Source organism: Homo sapiens, chromosome 7 (genome assembly GCF_000001405.40).
Source record: "Homo sapiens chromosome 7, GRCh38.p14 Primary Assembly".
Classification (NCBI taxonomy): Eukaryota; Metazoa; Chordata; class Mammalia; order Primates; family Hominidae; genus Homo; species Homo sapiens.
In genome coordinates, this window is record NC_000007.14 from 99,169,410 (window position 1) to 99,188,691 (window position 19,282).

At 46.8% G+C, this 19,282-nt stretch overlaps 1 protein-coding gene across 11 annotated transcripts in view; it reads right to left on the reverse strand.

The window, feature by feature from the left end:
• KPNA7 (karyopherin subunit alpha 7) overlaps positions 1-19,282 on the reverse strand; it is a 73,616-nt gene that overhangs the window by 23,606 nt on the left and 30,728 nt on the right. For 7 of the 11 annotated variants that reach the window (XM_017012213.2, XM_017012209.2, XM_017012208.2 and 4 more), the window contains 4 exons: positions 18,891-19,154; positions 15,520-15,753; positions 12,474-12,656; positions 7,433-8,657 (listed from right to left, as the gene is read on the reverse strand). In XM_017012213.2, coding sequence (XP_016867702.1) covers positions 8,409-8,657; positions 12,474-12,656; positions 15,520-15,753; positions 18,891-19,154 — 930 coding nt within the window. In that variant the 3' untranslated portion in view covers positions 7,433-8,408. Of the gene's footprint in view, positions 1-4,162; positions 4,386-7,432; positions 8,658-12,473; positions 12,657-15,519; positions 15,754-18,890; positions 19,155-19,282 lie in introns of those variants that run through there. The other 4 variants (XM_011516215.3, NM_001145715.3, XM_017012211.2 and 1 more) reach the window with 3 other exon arrangements.

Below are 19,282 nucleotides of genomic sequence, written 5' to 3' on the forward strand. Positions count from 1 at the left end.
AGGAGTTCAAGACCAGCCTGGCCAACATGGTGAAACCCTATCTGTACTAAAAATACAAAAATTAGCCAGGCATGGTGGGGCACGCCTGTAATCTCAGCCACTCAGGAGGCCGACAGGAGAATCGCTTGAACCTGGGAATGGAGGTTGCAGTGAGCTGAGATTGCACCACTGCACTCCAGCCTGGGCGACAGAGCATGATTCCATCTCAAAAATAGATAAATAACCTGACCTTGTTCCTGTGCCCTGCCCAGAGAATGGAAGGAGGGAAGCATAAGTCTCACAAATGAATGGTTGAAGGACTCCTCTTTAGGAAAACTAACCAGCCCATGAAAAAAGATCTGCAGCTCTGGGCCAGGCGCAGTGGCTCACGCCTGTAATCCCAGCACTTTGGGAGGCCGAGGTGGGCGGATCACTTCAGGTCAGGGATTCAAGACCATCCTGGTCAACATGGTGAAACCCTGTCTCTACTAAAAATACAAAAATTAGCCGGGCATGGTGGCTTGTACCTGTAATCCCAGCTACTTGGGAGGCTGAGGCAGGAGAAGTCACTTGAACCCAGGAGGCGGAGGTTGCAGTGAGCAGAGATTGTGCCACTGTACTCCAGCCTGGGTGACAGAACAAGACTGTCTCAAAAAAAAATCTGCAGCTCTGATCGTTGGGATCACTTGTTGGAATGGCCAGGTTTCTGTGGGGTCACCCAGCAGATATCCACCAATGACAGGCCCCGCTCACAGCCTGAGGACCTTTCTATTACAAGCAGAGATCCAAGGACATCAGACATCTGATGGAAGCCTTTGCCATAGGCACACCAAACTAACAACAAACACCCCCCCAAGAATCAATGCATAAACAAAGCTAGGTCGATAGCACAGATAGGATCTTGCGCTAATGAAGAAGGAGGCTTGAAAAGGGAAGCCTGTGAAAACAAAGTGTCTCGAATTAAGTGACTGCAGAAATGAAAAGCCTGGAAGAAGAGATAAAGTAGAATACCCCAGAAAGTAAAAAATAAAGATGGAAAATAGAGAATGGGACAAGAAAATGAGAGGATCCGTTTCAGTGGGAAAAAAAAATGGTGGTGGCAGGGGAGATAATTCTATTTTTTTCTTTTTCTTTTTAGAGATGGGGTCTTGCTATGTTGCCCAGGCTGGTCTCAAACTCCTGGACTCAAGGGGTCCTCCCACCTCAGCCTCCCAAAGTGCTGGAATTATAGGCGTGAGCCACTGTTCCAAGCTGTTTTTTAAAAATTAAAAGGACAATTCTAGACTGCAAGGCTGATACTTGGATGTACAGAAAATAGGTTTCTATTCAGGACAGCACATTTAAGAATACTGGAGACACAACCTACAAATTTCAGTCAGTAGAGTTGAGACAGGGGAAGAGAGTCATGCACAAAATAATTGGCAATCAGAGTAGAAGACTTTGAACCCAACACTGAAAACTAGAAGATAATGATCGATGCTTGCAACATTCTGAAGGTCATAGTTTCCAGTCTAGAACACTTGTCTGCAGCTGGATTGTCAACCAGGAGTCAAAACAAAGTCCATGTTTTCAAAGGCCAGGTGCGGTGGCTCACACCTGCAATCCCACTGAGGTCAGGAGTTCAAGACTAGCCTGTTCAACATGGTGAAACCCCGTCTCTACTAATAAAAAAAATACAAAAATTAGCTGGGCGTGTTCGCGGGCGCCCGTGATCCCAGCTACTCGGGAGGCTGAGGCAGGAGAATCGCTTGAACCCGGGAGGTGGAGGTTGCAGTGAGCCAAGATCGTGCCACTGCACTCCAGTCTGGGTAACAGAGCAAGACTCTGTCTCAAAAATAAAAATAAAAAATAAAGTACATGTTTTTGGATGAGCAGTGTCTGAAATTTAACCTCCCATGCACCTTCTCTCAGAAGATACATATTAAAAGCCAGTGGGTCTCAGTGGCTCACGCCTGTAATCCCAACACTTTGAGAAGCCAAGGCAGCAGGATCGCTTGATCCCAGGAATTCAAGGTCAGCTTCCCTGTTTCCTGGATCCCATGCCTACCTCCTCATGCGATCGTTTGTTTTGGAGATGGGGTCTCACTTCATAGCCCAGGCTGGAGTGCAGTGGCACCATCATAGCTCACTGCAGCCTCCAACTCCCTGGCTCAAGCAATCCTCTCGCCTTGGCTTCCCAAAGCCAAATTAATTAAAATTTTAAAAGCCAAATTAATTAAACAATTAGCTGGGCATAGTGGCACACATCTGTAGACCCAGCTACTCAAGAGGCTGAGGCGGGAGGATTGCTTTAGCAAGGCTGCCCTGAGCTGAGCTGTGATGGTTCCACTGCACTCCAGCCTGGGCGACAGAGTAAGACCTTGTCCCTAAAATAAAGGGGAAAACAAGCACAGGCAGGTGTGAGATCCTGCAAACAGGGACACTGACCCAGGAAAAGTGAGTGGAGCCCCCACAATGATGGTAAAAGCCGATCCCAGGACAATAGACGTGTACCAGAGGATGAGGACAACTATTCCAGGCTGGAGCATGACAGAGCTCTCCAGTGGGTGTGGATGACAAGCATGTTGGTAGATTACTGACGTATTACATTCAGCAGGAGGTTTACACAGGCTGTAAGAATTTGATATGAGGTAAACCCAAGGAAAACAAAGCATATGAGTGAAGATGTGGATTAATACTAAGGAAAACACACTTCTGAATATAATTTACATCATTATGATAAAATCTGGACATCAAGCTAACAAAAATTAGATATCTACGATGCGAAGAAAGGGAGGTATAAAAAAATGGCTATCTCTTCTGTAAATTCGAACATCGTCTTTAGATGTAGCATGAGCATAATGTTTAGAATTACAAAAGCATAGACTAGAATAAACAGACCAAAGAGTAGAAAGTTCTGGCCTCTGGGGATGGGGTGGAAGAGGCATGGGTCCTCCTTTGCTTTAAATATCTATAGCTCTGTAAAATATGTACATTGTATCAAAGTTCATTTAAGTTATAAAAATTAAGTATACAAGAAAGTCATGGTTCAAAAATAATATGTAGGCCAGGTGCGGTTGCTTATGTCTGTAATCCCAGCACTTTGGGAGGCTGAAGTGGGAGGACCATTTGAGGCCAGGAGTTCAAGACTAACCTGACCATAGTAAGACCCCATCTCTACAGAATTCTTTAAAAGGTTAGCTGCATGTGGTGGTGCTGCCTTGAAATATAGAAACACACACGCACTCTCTTTCTTTCTAGGAAGAATAAGAGAGATTGAGTTTCTAGAGAAAATTATCTTAGATCTTGTCAGTGTCAGGATATTAATTGCCAGAGGAAAGAAGGCCAGTAACACTGTCCCTGCAGCACTAAGAACCAATGATATTGTATCTGCAAGTCGAAGTCTGTGTAGAGACCAGGCATGTTGGCTCACGCCTGTAATCCCAGCACTTTAGGAGGCTGAGACATGTGGATCACCTGAGGTCATGAGTTTGAGACCAGCCTGGTCAACATGGTGAAACCCTGTCTCTACCAAAAATACAGAAATTAGCCCAGCATGGTGGCAGGCACCTATAGTCCCAGCTATTTGGCAGGAGAGGCAGGAAAATCACTGGAACCTGGGAGACGGAGGTTGCAGTGAGCCTAGATCACATCACTGCACTCCAGCCTGGGTGACAAGACCGAAACTCCATCTCAAAAAAAAAAAAAAAAAAAAAAGAAAAAGAAAAAGTCTGTCCGGATAACTATAAGACCATTCTACTCTGTCTTGAAGGTTTTGCTTTAAGACCTTTTAAAAGGCAATTACTAAACAAATGTTCTTTATTTTTTATTATTTTTTTTGAGAAGGAGTTTCACTCTTGTTGCCCAGGCTGGAGTACAATGGCTCCATCTCAGTTCACTGCAACCTCCGCCCTCCTGGGTTCAAGCAATTTTCCTGCCTCAGCCTCCCAAATAGCTGGAATTACAGGCATGCGTCACCATGCCTGGCTAATTTTTTGTATTTTTAATAGAGACGGAGTTTCACTGTGTTGGCCAGGCTGGTCTCAAACTCCTGACCTCAGGTGATCCACCCACCTTGGCCTCCCAAAGTGCTGGGATTACAGGTGTGAGCCACCACACCCAGCCTAAACAAATGTTCTTAGGAGATGAATTCCACATGGTTTTAAGATGCAAGTCGTTTATCTGAAGTTCAGATAGAGAAACGTGAAAGTGTTGAACATTTTATTAATGTCAAGTTTTAAAAGCTTCACATTTGGGTTACACTAAGATAGAGGACTGCTGCTTCTTAAAGAAGTTATCCTTTAGCACTGGGTTGTTGGTTTAGGAGGTAGGGAGCTTGGCTATTTTTTTGCTAAGCATTCATAATCTATAAATTCATAATCTTGGTCTATGACTTGGCTCAGTAAAGTTTGGCTCTCATCTTCTTCCTTCAGGAGAGAATAGACACTGTTATACCTCCAGGATTCTCAGCACATTATCACTGCACATTTGGCAAGATGCACCTTGTAACAAAATTGACCCTCTTAACCATGTTTAAGCAGGTAGCTTAGTAGCAATTAAGTACATTCGCATTGTTGCGCAACCATCACCACCACCCACCTCTAGAACTTTTTCATCTTGCACAACTGAAGCTTTGTACCTATTGCATCAGGGGTCCCCAACCCCGCATCCGTGGCCTATTAGGAACTGGGCCACACAGCAGAAGGTGAGCAGCAGGCCAGCAAGCGAAGCTTCATCTGTATTTACAGCCACTCCCCATCACTCGCATTCCCACCTGAGCTCTGCCTCCCTGTCAGACCAGCAGCAGCATTAGATTCTCATAGCAGCACAAACCCTATTGTGAACTGCGCATGCCAGGGAACCAGGCTGCATGCTCCTTATGAGAATCTAGTGCCTGATGATCTGTCAACTGTCTCCCATCACCCCCAGATGGGATCGTCTAGTTGCAGGAAAAGATCTCAGGGTTCCCACTGATTCTGCATTACGATGAGCTGTATAATTATTTCATTATATATTACCATGTAGTAATATAAAGTGCACAATAAATGTAATGCTCTTGAATCATCCCGAAACCATCCCCTCACCCCCCAGCCTGTGGAAAATTTGTCTTTCACAAAAACTGGTCCCTAGTGTCAAAAACGTTGGGATCACTGTATTTAATCACTCCTCATTCCCTCCTCCACCCAGCACCTGGCAACCACCATTCTACTTTGTCTCTACAGATTTGATGACTGCAGGTACCAAATCTAAGTGGAATCGCATTGTATTTGTCCTTTTGTGAGTAGCTTGTTTTTAAATGCAGTTTTGATAGACATAGAACACCGTCCTGACAATGAGTAAGCAAATGATAGGTATAGTTACTACTTCTAGTCCAGAAATCTTTACCCTGGAGTTCTTGGATCAAGCCCCAGGGATCAAACCCCCTTTAAAAGAGGTCTCTTATTTATTATTTTTTTTTTTTGAGATGGAGTCTTACTCTGTCGCCCAGGCTGGAGTACAGTGGCATGATTGCAGCTCACTACAACCTCTGCTTTCTGGGTTCAAGTGATTCTGCTGCCTCAGCCTCCTGAGTAGCTGGGATTATGAGCACCCGTCACCACACCCAGCTAATTTTTGTATTTTTAGTAGAGATGGAGTTTCACCATGTTGGCCAGGCTGGTCTCGAACTCCTGACCTCAGGTGATCCACCCGCCTTGGCCTCCCCCAAAGTGCTGGGATTACAGGTGTGAGCCACTGCACCCAGCTGAGCTTCTTATTTATGAGGTTTTCATAGGAACCATTAACCTGGAAAATGCTTATCACCATTATCACCATTCTAGGTCTGGTCTCCTTTGAGAGCATTTTTTTTCTATTTTAAGACAGTCTCGTGCTATTGCCCAGGTTGGAGAGCAGTGGCACAATCACAACTCAAGCAATCCTCCCACTGTAGCCTCCCGAGTAACTGGGATTACAGGCACATGCCATTACACCTGGCTAATTTTTGTATTTTTTGTAGATATGGGCTCTCACTGTGTTGCCCAGGCTGGTCTCGGAGCTCCTGGACTCAAGCAATCCACCTGTCTTAGCTTCCCAAAGTGCTGCAATTATAGGCATGAGCTACCACACCTGGCTTGAGAGCTTTATTTATTTATTTATTTATTTATTTATTTATTTATTATTTATTTTGGAGATGGAGTTTTGCTCTGTTGCCCAGGCTGGAATACAGTGGCACCATCTTGGCTCACTGCAACCTCTGCTCTGGGGTTCAAGCTATTCTCCTGCCTCAGCCTCCTGAGTAGCTGGGATTACGGGCACAAACCACCACACCCAACTAATTTTGTATTTTTAGTAGAGACAGGGTTTCGCCATGTTGGCCAGGCTGGTCTTGAACTCCTAACCTCGTGATCCATCTGCCTCAGCCTCCCAAAGTGCTGAGATTACAGACATGAACCACTGCTCCCAGCCGAGAGCATCATCTTGGTCCCAAATCAAGACTAACTGCCCCAGCTAACCACACCATCCACCTGGTCATATTGATTGTATGGTCCTTTATTTTGCTGGTAAGTCACCTTTGACACCTAAGAGAAGTGTCACTCTGTAAACTCCTAGCCCCATGTTGATCTGGTCATGAAATAAATGTGAGGTTGCCTTCCTCATATGAAAAATTTCTGCTGGGCGTGGTGGCTCACGCCTGTAATCCCAGCACTTTGGGAGGCCCGAGGCAGGCGGATCACGAGGTCAGGAGATCAAGACCATCCTGGCTAACACGGTGAAACCCCGTCTCTACTAAAAGTACAAAAAATTAGCCGGACATGGTGGTGGGCGCCTGTAATCCCAGCTACTTGGGAGGCTGAGGCAGGAGAATGACGTGAACCCAGGAGGTGGAGGTTGCAGTGAGCCAAGATCGCGCCACTGCACTCCAGCCTGGGCAGCTGAGCGAGACTACGTCTCAAAAAAAAAAAAAAAGAAAGAAAGAAAGAAAGAAAAGAAAAATTTCTGATATAAGTGCAAATCAAACCACAATGAGATACCACTTTATACCCATGAGATTAGCTATTACCAAAACACCTAGAAAATAACAAGTGTCGGCAAGGGTGTGGAGAAATTGGAATCCTCATGCATTGTTGGTAGGGATGTGAAATGGTATATCTACTGTGGAAAAGAGCGTGGTAGTTCTTCAAAAATTCAAAATGGAATTACCACGTAATCTAGCAATTCCACTCTAGGTATATACTCCAAAGAATTGGGCCAGGTGCGGTGGCACAGACCTGTAATTCCGGCACTTTGGGAGGCCGAGACGGGTGGCTTGCTTGAGCTCAGGAGTTTTAGACCAACCTAGGCAACATGGTGAAACCCCATCTCTACAAAAAAAATACAAAAGTTAGCTGCCGGCATGGTGGTGCATGCCTGTAGTCCCAGCTACTTGGGAGCCTGAGGTGGGAGGATTGCTTGAGCCCAGGGAAGTCAAGGCTACAGTGAGCAACCATTGCGGCCATTGCCTTCCAGCCTGGGTGACAGAGCAGGACCCTGTCTTTACAAACAAAAAAAAATTGGAAGCAGGGACTCTAACAGGCTTACACACCCATGTTCATAGCAGTGTATTCACCATAGCAAAATGGTAGAAGAAACTCACATGTCGATTGACAGGTAAATGAATATATATAATGCAGCATATACATTCAATGGAGTGTTAGCCTTAAAAAGGAAAGCAATCCTGACATGCTACAACACGGATGAATCTTGAAGATGGTATGCCAAGAGGAAATATATCAGTCACAAAAGGACAAATACTGTACAATTCCACTCATGAGGTCCCTAGAATAGTCAAATTCATAGAGACAGAAAGCAAAATGATGGTTACTAAAAGGGCTAGGGGAAAGGTGTGTTGGGGACTTTGTAGTTAACGGGTAGGGAGTTTCAGTTTGGGAAGATAAAAACTGTTGTGGAGACGGGCCGGGTGTGGTGGCTCACGCCTGTGATCCCAGCACTTTGGGATTACGCCAAGGCGGGTGGATCACTTGAGGCCAGGAGTTTGAGACCAGCCTGGCTAACACAGGGAAACCCTGTCTCTACTAAAGATTAGCTGGGCGTCGTAGTACATCTCTCTAATCCCAGCTTCTCGGGTCAATGAGGCTCAAGAATCAACTGAATCTGGAAGGCAGAAGTTGCAGTGAGCTGAGATGGCGCCTCTGTCCTCCAGCCTGGGCAACAGAGTGAAACCATCTCAAAAAAAAAAAAAAAAAAAAAAAAAAGTCACTTCAGCATCAAATCCTCTCCCCTGCCATACCTCTCCCAAAAAGGAGACCAGTAAAGTGAAGTTTTAAGCCAGAGGCAGCCAGACAAGCTCCCAAGGAATTAGAATAGCTTCCAGGCACCAAGATGTCACTACTCAAAGATGACCCGATACAGCAGGGATAGGCGAGACACATTAACTTCAGAGGATGTGGCAGGAGTGAAGACCACCTGCCCAGTCACCTGCCACACGCAACAGCCCAGGCCCCGGCAGGGTGACCCTCTGCAGAGCTGCCCCACCAAGACCCCTGGATACTCCTCCACGCTCCTAAGTCACTTACCTCACCAAAGTGCTTCTCGATGATGTTCAAAGCCGACTGGCCAATTTGACGGTTCTCATGCAGCTGTAAAGCCTCAATTCTATCGATCCCACCAAGTTCTTCTATCAGAAGACACAGGTTTTCCTTCTCAGACCGTTTCTCTGCCGCCTGTGACCAAGTACAAGGGGACATGAGACCCCCGGCAGGAGCCTTTGGGGGATAGGGACTCTGTCAGCCCTCAAGGGAGCTGCCCCGAGTGGAAGCAGACCAAAGGCTACCATTCCAGAATGGATAGTTGCAATTTCACTTTTCCCAAATTGGTTGAAAATTACATGATCTTCCTCCCACTTTAGGTATCCACGATATATAGACATATATCATAAATATAGGGCCGGGCGCAGTGTCTCATGCCTGTAATCCAACACTTTGGGAGGCTGAGGCAGGCAGATCACTTGAGGTCAGGAGTCTGAGACCAGCCTGGCCAACATGGTGAAACCTCGTCTCTACTAAAAATACAAAAATTAGTTGGGCGTGGTGGCAGGTGCCTGTAATTCCAGCTACTCAGGAGGCTGAGGCACAAGAATTGCTTGAACCAGGAGGCAGAGGTTGCAGTGATCTGACATTGCGCCACTGCACTCCAGCCTGGATGACAGCATAAGACTCAGTCTCAAAAAAAAATTAATAAAGAAGATACACAGGGAAGACTCAGAAGGTATCACAATTTTGTTAACATTTTGTGTAGAGACAAGATCTTGCTGCATTACCCAGATTAGTCTCCAACTCCTGGCCTCAAGCAATCTTCCTGCCTTGGCCTCCCAAAGTGCTGGGATTACAGGTATGAGCCACTGCATTTGGCCCAAATATCTTTGTCTCAAAAAAAAAAAAAAAAAAAAAAAAAAAAAAAAAAAGAGTCTCGCTCTATCGCCCAGGCTGGAGTGCAGTGGCGTAATCTTGGCTCACTACTCTCCCCACCTCCCAGGTTCAAGAGATTCTCCTGCCTCAGTTTCCCAAGTTGCTGAAACTACAGGTACATGCCATGCCAGGCTTTTTTGTATTTTTGTAGAGATGGGGTTTCACCATGTTGGCCAGGCTGGTCTTGAACTCCTAACCTCAGGTGGTCCTCTCACCTCAGCCTCCCAAAGTGCTGGGATTACAAGCATGAGCCAATGCACTTGGCCCAAATATCTATTCTTTATCTGTGTCTTTTGCTCAAGTTTCAGGGTATCATGGGGTTGAGTTTCTAATCTAGTCTTGACTCAGATCATTCAAGAAAATTACATTAAAAAGATGCTTAAAGTGGACTTCTAAAAGGAGCTCCTTGGTGTTACTTTGAAGATTTTCAGATGGTTTTGTCACCTATAAAAGAACCTTAGCTAAGCTGGACACAGTGGCCCATTCCTGTAATCCCAGCACTTTGGGAGGCCGAGGTGAGAGGATCACTTGAGCCCAGGACTTTGAGACCAGTGTAGGCAACATAGCAAGACCCTGTCTCTGCTAAAATACAAAAATTAGCTGGGTGTGGTAGCACAAGCCTGTAATCCCATCTACTTGGAAGGCTGAGGTGGGAGGATCACCTGAGCCTAGGAAGTTGAGGCTGCAGTGAGCTGAGATCACAACACTGCATTCTAGCCTGGGTGACAGAGTGAGATCCTGTTTCAAAATATATATATATATTTATATTATTTATATTTTTATTTATTTTTAGAGACAGACTCTTGCTCTGTTGCCCAAGCTGGAGTGCAGTGGCATGATCTTGGCTCACTGCAACCTCCACCACCCAGGTTCAAGTGATTCTCATGCCTCAGCCTCCCGAGTAGCTGGGATTACAGGCATGAGCCACCATGCCTGGCTAATTTTTTTGTAGAGATGGGGTTTCACAATGCTCAGGCTTGTCTTGAAGTCCTGACCTCAGGTGATCTGCACACCTCGGCCTCCCAAAGTGCTGGATTACAGGTGTAAGCCACCATGCCCAGCCAAAAAACAGTAATTTTTTAAAAGGACCCTAACCAAATGAACCTAGCTAGCCTCCAAAACTGCCCTGATGATCCCTGACCCCCGGTGCTCAAACCCTGTGTAGTTCCCCACCCACATTGAATGGGGATGACCTGTGTAACCAATAGGATGTTGTGGAAGTGACAGAATGTGACCTCCAAGGTCACGTCATGAAGGACACTGAGGCCTTCACCTTGCTTTTAGACCCCTTACTCATAGGAAGCCAGCTGCCGTGATGTGAGGACACTCAGGCAGCCCAATGGAGAAGGTCCATGTGTCCAAGTGACTTCCCGGTCATCGTGTAAGCCTCCTCAGAAGCCAATCCTCTTGGCTAGGCATGGTGGCTCACACCTGTAATCCTAGCACTTTGGGAGGCTGAGGCGGGAGGATGACTTGAACCCAGGAGTTAGAGAACAGCCTGGGCAATATAGCAAGACCCTGTCTCTACTAAAAATACAAACATTGGCCAGGTGTGGTGGCATCTGGCTGTAGTGCCAGTGATTCAGGTGGCTGAGGTGGGAGGATTGCTTGAGCCCAGGAGATCAAGGCTGCAGTGAGCGAGGATCACAGCACTCCAACCTCGGTGGCAGAGCAGAGATCCTATCTCTGTCTGTCTCTCTCTCTCTGTGTCTCTATCTCTCTGTCTCCGTCTGTCTCCGTCTGTCTCTGTCTCTGTCCATCTGTCTCTGTCCATCTCTCCGTCTCTCCGTCTCTGTCTCTCTCCCCATCTCTCTCTCCCCGTCTCTCTCTCCGTCTCTGTCTCTCTCTCCCCATCTGTGTGTGTGTCTCTCTCCCCGTCTGTGTCTCTGTCTGTGTCTCTCTCTCTCTCCGTCTGTGTCTCTCTCTCTCCCCGTGTCTCTCTCTCTCTCCCCGTCTGTGTCTCTCTCTCTCTCCCCGTCTGTGTCTCTCTCTCTCTCCCCGTCTGTGTCTCTCTCTCTCCCCGTCTGTCTCTCTCTCTCTCCCCGTCTGTGTCTCTCTCTCTCTCCCCGTCTGTGTCTCTCTCTCTCCCCATCTCTCTCTCCCCGTCTGTGTCTCTCTCTCTCTCCCCGTCTGTGTCTCTCTCTCTCCCCATCTCTCTCTCTCCCCGTCTGTGTCTCTCTCTCCCCGTCTGTCTCTCTCTCTCTGTGTGTGTGTCTCTCTGTGTGTGTCTCTCTCTCTCTCTCCGTCTGTGTCTCTCTCTCCATCTGTGTCTCTCTCTCTCTCTCCGTCTGTGTCTCTCTCTCCGTCTGTGTCTCTCTCTCCGTCTGTGTCTCTCTCTCCGTCTGTGTCTCTCTCTCCGTCTGTGTCTCTCTCTCCGTCTGTGTCTCTCTCTCCGTCTGTGTCTCTCTCTCCGTCTGTCTTTCTCTGTCTCTGTCTCTATAAAGACAGCTACAGCCACTCCCCACCCTGAACTATTAGTGACTGCCCCTTTATCCGATTTACTTTATCCATAACTCCCTACCTGATGTGTCTGTTCTCTGTCACTCCCCTCATACATAATGTCCATTACAGCAGGGACTTTGCATTGTCATAGTCTGAGCATCTGAAAAAATATCTGGCACATAGACATTTGTTTGAGAAAACGAAGACCATGGTCCTTCGAGATGGCTCTTTTTGTGTTTATCCACAGGACACATGGACAGAGGAGGGTAGAGGTATTGGGGGAAGAGAAATAATCCAACTTGGGTTTTGTTTTGAGACGGAGTCTGGCTCTGTCGCCCAGGCTGGAGTGCAGTGGCACTATCTTGGCTCACTGCAACCTCTGCCTCCTGGGTTTCAAGCGATTCTCCCACCTCAGCCTCCCAAGTAGCTGGGATACAGGCATGCACTACCTTTCCCGGCTAATTTGACGGGGTTTCACTATGTTGGCCAGGCTGGCCTCAAATTCCTGACCTCAGGTGATCCACCTGTCTCAGCCTCCCAAAGTACAACTTGAATTTTAAGAGCCACATTAAATGCTTGTATCCAGTTGGAGACAGCTATTTACAAACCAACCTGTTCAGAACGGCTCACCTGGAGGATGCAAGAGATGACATCAAGGATGATGAGAACAATTTTAACATCTGGGGCAGTGAGCAGATTCACCAGTGGCTCCAGGACCCCAGAGTGGACGAGCTGGATCAGCTGATCCATGGTGGCCCCTGTTGCAAAGTTCGCCACCATCCAGACAGCCTCTTTCTGGACTTTAAATTCTCCCTGCAGAACAAGAATGTTTCCATTCTCTACAGATCCTCAAGAACCTAAATAGAGGACACCAACTTGGTTCACTTTCTAGGGAGGCTGGTGACAGCCAGGACTGCATGTACAATTTACATAGAATGCCTTGGCTACCTGCCTCTAGCTCTTTCTTTCCCCCCTCACTCTGTCGCCCAGGCTGGAGTGCAGTGGCGCAATCTCAGCTCACTGCAATCTCCGCCTCCCAGGTTCAAGCGATTCTCCTGCCTCAGCCTCCTGAGTAGCTGGGACTACAGGTGTGTGCCACCACGCCCAGCTAATTTTTTATATTTTTAGTAGAGACAGGTTTCACCATGTTGGCCAGGATGTTCTCGATCTCTTGACCTCATGATGCGCCTGTCTCGCTCAGCCTCCCAAAGTTCTGGGATTACAGGCACTCACCACCATACCCAGCTAATTTTCGTATTTTTAGTACAGACAGGGTTTCACCATGTTGGCCAGGCTGGTCTCAAACTCCTGACCTCAAGTGATCCTCCCATCTCGGCCTCCCAAAGTGTTGGGATTATAGGCATGAACCCCCTGCCCGGCTCCTGCCTCTAGTTCTTGATCAGAAGATGGCATCTTTGGAAAGCCAAGAAGGCAGGAGACTCAGGTGGGGTCTTAGAGGGAAGCTCTAAGATCAGATAGGCTCATTTGCCCACATCAGGCCACAGGGAAAAAATGAAACGGACATTAACCAATTCAGGTAATCTACACAGACTAGGAGTTATGCTTGGGGTTTTAGATGACAGTGGCCTATGTCTGCATTTCTAGTCTTTCTGATCTAGTAAAGCTTTGGCCAAGAAGCTGTAAGCCTGGGTACACAGATACAACCTAAGGGACCAAGCCAGCCCAGAGGTGACAGAGAAAGACCATTGAAATATCGTTCAGGTCGGGCACGGTGGCTCACACCTGCAATCCCAGCACTTTGGGAGGCTGAGGCAGGCAGATTGCCTGAGCTCAGGTGTTAGAGACTAGCCTGGGCAACATGGTGAAACCCTGTCTCTATTAAAATACAAAAAATTAGCCGGGTGTGGAGGCGTGTGCCTGTAATCCCAGTTAGGAGGCTGAGGAAGGAGAATCACTTGAACTCAGGAGGCAGAGGTTGCAGTGAGCCAAAATTGTCCCACTGCACTCCAGTCTGGGTGACAGAGCGAGACTCCATCTCCAATAATAATAATAATTGCTCAATAAACCTTTGCATTTATAAAATGCACTTGGCCAGAGATACAGGAGGAATTTATCTTCTATTCTTCTATTCCTGGGTAGGATTTATTCCCATTTTATGGTTGGGGAAAACTGACCTCAGCATAAAAAACAAAACAAAACAAATAACTTATGGCTCCAAGCAAGTTATAGTTCAAAAGATACCACTTGAAATATAAATGTCCTTTGATTCATAACTAGATGTTTCTCACTAGAATATGTACAGATTTACAGAGGCGTGCAGGACCACAAGTACTGAACAGATTGGAAGATGCTATAATTTGGGCAACACACCTGGTCTTTCTCTCTTGCCTAGCTTGTCATACCTGGTGCATCCTGGGAACTCACTACCCAGCCTGAGAACAGGAACACCGCCAGTAGCTTCTCCTCAACCCCATGAGACTCCACCTGCCTCCCCACCCCCAGCCCAAGGTAACCACTCCTGACTATAGATGGTTTAAACATAGCTAATTCCTTTAAAGGTGGCAAAAAGAAAAATGCCAAGGATAGTCATTGCTCCTGCAAAAGGGGAGTACAAATCAGGAGAAATAATGTTTTTTTGTTTTTGTTTTTTTGCGACAGTTTTACTCTTGCTGCCCAGGCTGGAGTATAGTGGCATGATCGTGGCTCACTGCAACCTCCACCCTCCCAGGTTCAAGTGATTCTCCTGTCTTAGGCCTCCCAAGTAGCTGGGATTACAGGCACCCACCACCACACCTGGCTAATTTTTTGTGTTTTTAGTAGAGATGGGGTTTCACCATGTTGGCCAGGCTGGTATCGAACCCCTGATCTCAGGTGATCCACTTGCCTTGGCCTCCCAAAGTGCTGGGATTACGGACATAAGCCACTGTGCCTGCCCACAACCTTTTTTTTTTTTTTTTTTGAGACAGGGTCTCACTGTGTCACAGAGGCTACAGTGCAGTGGTGTGATCTTAGCTCACAGCAGCCTTGACCTCCCGGGCTCAATTGATCCTCCTACCTTAGCCTCCCAAGATGCTGGGACTACAGGCATATGCCACCAAGCCTGGCTAATTTTTGTATACGTATATTTTTTGTAGAGAAAGAGTTTCGCCACATTGCCCAGGCTGGTCTCAAACGCCTGAACTCAATCTATCCACCTGACTGGGCCTCCCAAAACGTCGGAATTACAGTCGTGAGCCACTGCACTCAGCCTGCTTTGTTGTTTTTCTATGTTTAGATTTGAATTTTGTTGACATTACCACTTTAATCAATTTAACTTTGCTTTCCTTCAGTGTATGATATCACCATAGCATGATATGTTTTTCCTCCTAAAAATAAAAGCTCCACCCTCTTTTGGTAGGGAGAGAATAGATGGCACATTCTTTCACCACCGCTTAGACATAAGCCAATATTTACTAGCTCAAGAGCTTTCTGGATGTTTGAGCCATGGGGTCACCTTGTCATTGAATAATGCTTGTTCCGTCTTCCAAATCTTTAATGGGTTCTTCAGAATGGAACGCCCCCTTCCTTTTTTTCAGGCAAAGCTAGGACTCTGAGGTTTCAGAGCTCTGCTGTGATCTCAATTTGCTTCTGCACCTGTGTCTGGATTCCTGAAGGAGTTCAACCCAGGGCTATTGGAAAGTAGTCCTTTGCCATGGTTGCTGTGTGCGCCACTTACGTTTTTTAGCAGAGCCACCAAGGGAGGCAAGACGTCGTAGGCAAGCAGCTGCTGGATGTGGTGACAAGGCCCCGCTGCTACGTTGCTCAGGGCCCAGGCTGCCTCCTTCTGGATGGAGGGCTTGTTGTGTTGCAGGAGCTGGGGGAGCACGTTCAGCATACCCGCATCAATGGCCATCTGCGTCTGCTCATCTGTGCCCGTGACAATGTTCCCCACGGTGCGGAGAGAAGGAGTCTGGAAGAGCAAGGCTAGAAGTCTAAGTATTTCAAGTCTATCCCAGGAGAAGGCAACAATCACACCAAGTTCTGTTCTCTCCCAAACATTGTCATGCTATAGCCGATGGTTGTCTGACAGCCTGTGAACAGGAATTGTATCTGTGATCATTATTCAATTCATCCATGGCCTTTTAATTTATTTTTTATTTATTTATTTATAAAGAGACAGGGTCTTTACTGTTACCCAGGCTGGAATGCAGTGGCATGATCATAGCTCACTGCAGCCTTCAACTCTTGGGCTCAAGTGATCCTCCTCCCCCAGCCTCCCAAGTATCTGGGACTATACGGATGTGCCACCATGCCCGGCTAATTTTTAAGTTTTTTGTAGAGACGGGGGTCTTGCTATGTTGTCCAGGCTGGTCTCAAGTGATCCTGCCTTGGCTTTCCAAAGTGCTGGGATTACAATCATGAGCCACTGTGCCTGGCCCATGGATGTTTAAAGGTGACTTAAAGGAACTTTCTGGCTTCCCACTTGTTTGGCTCAAGTGGGACAGAAATACCCAAGAAATACCTTTATCGAGAAATGCTGTTGGACTTTTCATATGCTTTCAGTTTCATCATCAAATGCTAAATTGACGATAGTGTTTTGTTTGTTTGTTTGTTTTTTGAGACAAGGTCTTGCTGTCACCCAGACTGGAGTATAGTGGTACGATTTTGGTTGTCACTGCAACCTCTGCCTCCTGGGTTCAAGCAATTCTCCTGCCTCAGCCTCCTGAGAAGCTGGGATTACAGGTGTGCACCACCATGCCTGGCTAATTTTTGTATCTTTTGTAGAGACAAGGTTTCACCATGTTGCCCAGGCTTGTCTTGAACTCCTGACCTCAAGTGATCTGCCTACCTCGGCCTCCCAAAGTGCTGGGATTATAGGCATGAGCTACTGCGCCCAGTGACTATACTCTTTATCGTATAATGACTGAATTAGTATTTATCAGTGTCAAGCGTGTTGCATATTTAATTGGAGATAATGAGATCTCAATGCCATTTCCTGGTGTGATTGGGAAGCCCTTCATAATGGCTCAGAAGATCCCCAGGACAGGTCTACGATTGGGCTCAAAACAACAACTCTCCTACAATAGCTGACTATGGCTTTATTCAGATTTCTCTGTACTGTAGTGGCAGCCCCAGTAAAGCCCAGCAACAGTTCTAGAATTTTCCTAGCCTATTAGGCTACTTACCTGATACCAAAGTGAGAGGTAGAAGTGTACTTCAGGCCAGTCATGGCCTTACCAGGGCAGCTCCAAATAGGCCCCAGAACCCGGGGGTAAGCAACTTCTTAGAGAATTTACTTCTCCACTTTGGGAGGCCGAGGCGGATGGATCACTTGAGTCCAGGAGTTTGAGACCAGCCTGGCCAACATGGGGAAACACCGTCTCTACTAAAAATACAAAAATTAGCTGGGTGTGGTGGTGCACACCTGTAGTCCCAGCTACTTGGGAGGCTGAGGCAGGAAAATTTCTTGAACCCAGGAGACAGAGGTTGCAGGGAGCCAAGATTGTATCACCACACTCCGGCCTTGGCAACAGAGTGAGACTTTGTCAAAAAACAACAACAACAACAACAAAAATGGCTTGTCTTATCTCATACTCTCCATGCCCCTAGCACTATCCCGAAACCAACTCAACATCTGAGAAGTCCTATGCTAATCTCAAAATAGATGATCACTAAGGCTGCAGAATATGCAATATTAGGTAAAATATTAAGAAAATAAAGAGCAGGCAGCATAGAGACATCTTCAATATAATGCACCCACATTTCAAAGCAGTATATGATGTAGGTGACATGTTTAATAACATAGCAAAGCGGCAGGGCATAGTGGCTCATGCCTGTAACCCCAGCACTTTGGGAGGCTGAGGTGGGCAGATCACCTGAGGTCAAGAGTTCAGGACCAGCCTGGCCAACCTGGTGAAACCCTGTCTCTACTAAAAATACAAAAATTAGCTGGGCGTGATGGTAGTGGGTGCCTGTGATCCCAGCTACTCAGGAGGCTGAGGCAAGAGAATTGCTTGAAGTCGGGAGGTGGAGGTTGCAGTGAGCCAAGATTGTACCACTGCACTCCAGCCTGGATGACAGAGAGACTCCGTCTCACACACAAAAAAAATAATAACCTAGAAAAGCAATTAGTAATGGTTTTACTTGCTTTCTGCCTATATCTGAGCTAGTCTAAGAGAACAAACTGGGGAGAGGATAATGGGTTGTTTTTTTTTTTAATCCCCAGTCTCACTGTCACTCTGGCTGGAGTACAGTGTGCCATCACAGCTCACTGCATCCTCAAACTTCTGGGCTCAATAAATTCTCCCAACTCTGCCTCCCCAGTAGCTGAGACTACAGGTATGCACCACCACACCCAGCTAATTTTTTTTTTTTTTTTTTGAGATGGAATGTCACTGTCACCCAGGCTGGAGAGCAGTGGCACGATCTCAGCTCACTGCAACCTCCACCTCCTGGGTTCAAGGAATTCTCCTGCCTCAGCCTCCCGAGTAGCTGGAATTACAGCTGTGCGCCATCACACTCAGTTAATTCTTTGGTGTTTTACAAATAAATTTTTGTATTTTTGTATTTTTACAGCTGTGAGCCACCGTGCCCGGCCTTTTTTTTTAAAAAAAAAAAAAAAAAAAAAAAAAAAAAAAAAAAACCCACTAGGATTTGACATCAAAATAGATTCAAGCTTTTGGCCACAGAGTAGCAAAGATGGGCAGGCACAGTGGCTCACACCTCTAATCCCAGTCGTTTGGGAGGCCGAGGCAGGAGGATCACCTGAGGTCAGGAGTTCGAGACTAGCCTGGCCAACATGGTAAAACCCTGTCCCTACTAAAAATACAAAATGAGCCGGGCGTGGTCGTTGGCATCTATAATCCCAGCTACCCAGGAGGCTGAGATAGGAGAATCGCTTGAACCTGGGAGGCAGAGGTTGCAATGAGCTGAGATTGTGCCACTGCATTCCAGCCTGGGTGACAGAGCAAGACTCTGTCTCAAAAAAAAAAAAAAAAAAAAAAAAGCAAAGACCAGGGAAATGCAGATGACAAACCTTGCCCCAGAACCTGCTAAAGTGACTATGACCCGAGGACTCGAATCCACAGGGCCCAGGATTGCATTTACCAAGACATTGAGTTCTGAGCTGGTCATGAGCACTACCAGCCTGGGCAGGACCCCCGTGTTAACCACTTGGCCGATGCGCTTGTTGGAGCCGTCGGTGAGGTAGGACAGTGCCCAGCAGGCATCCGAGAGAACCTCACTGTCCTGGTGCTGCAGGAGGTGAAGGAGGGCCGGCAGTATCTGCTTCACCGCAGTGTCGCAAGGGTATGGGTTCTTGTTTCGGCACAGATTCGACAAGGTCCACGTGATGTTCCGCAGAAATGTGATCTGTAACAAGGAGACTGCCTCCAGCATTGGGTGCAAAGGAGAGAAAATGCAAACAGCAGTGTGTTCTTACCATTTCCAATCAATACCATAGATCAGCATGAACCAGAGCTTTTTAAAATTTTATTTAT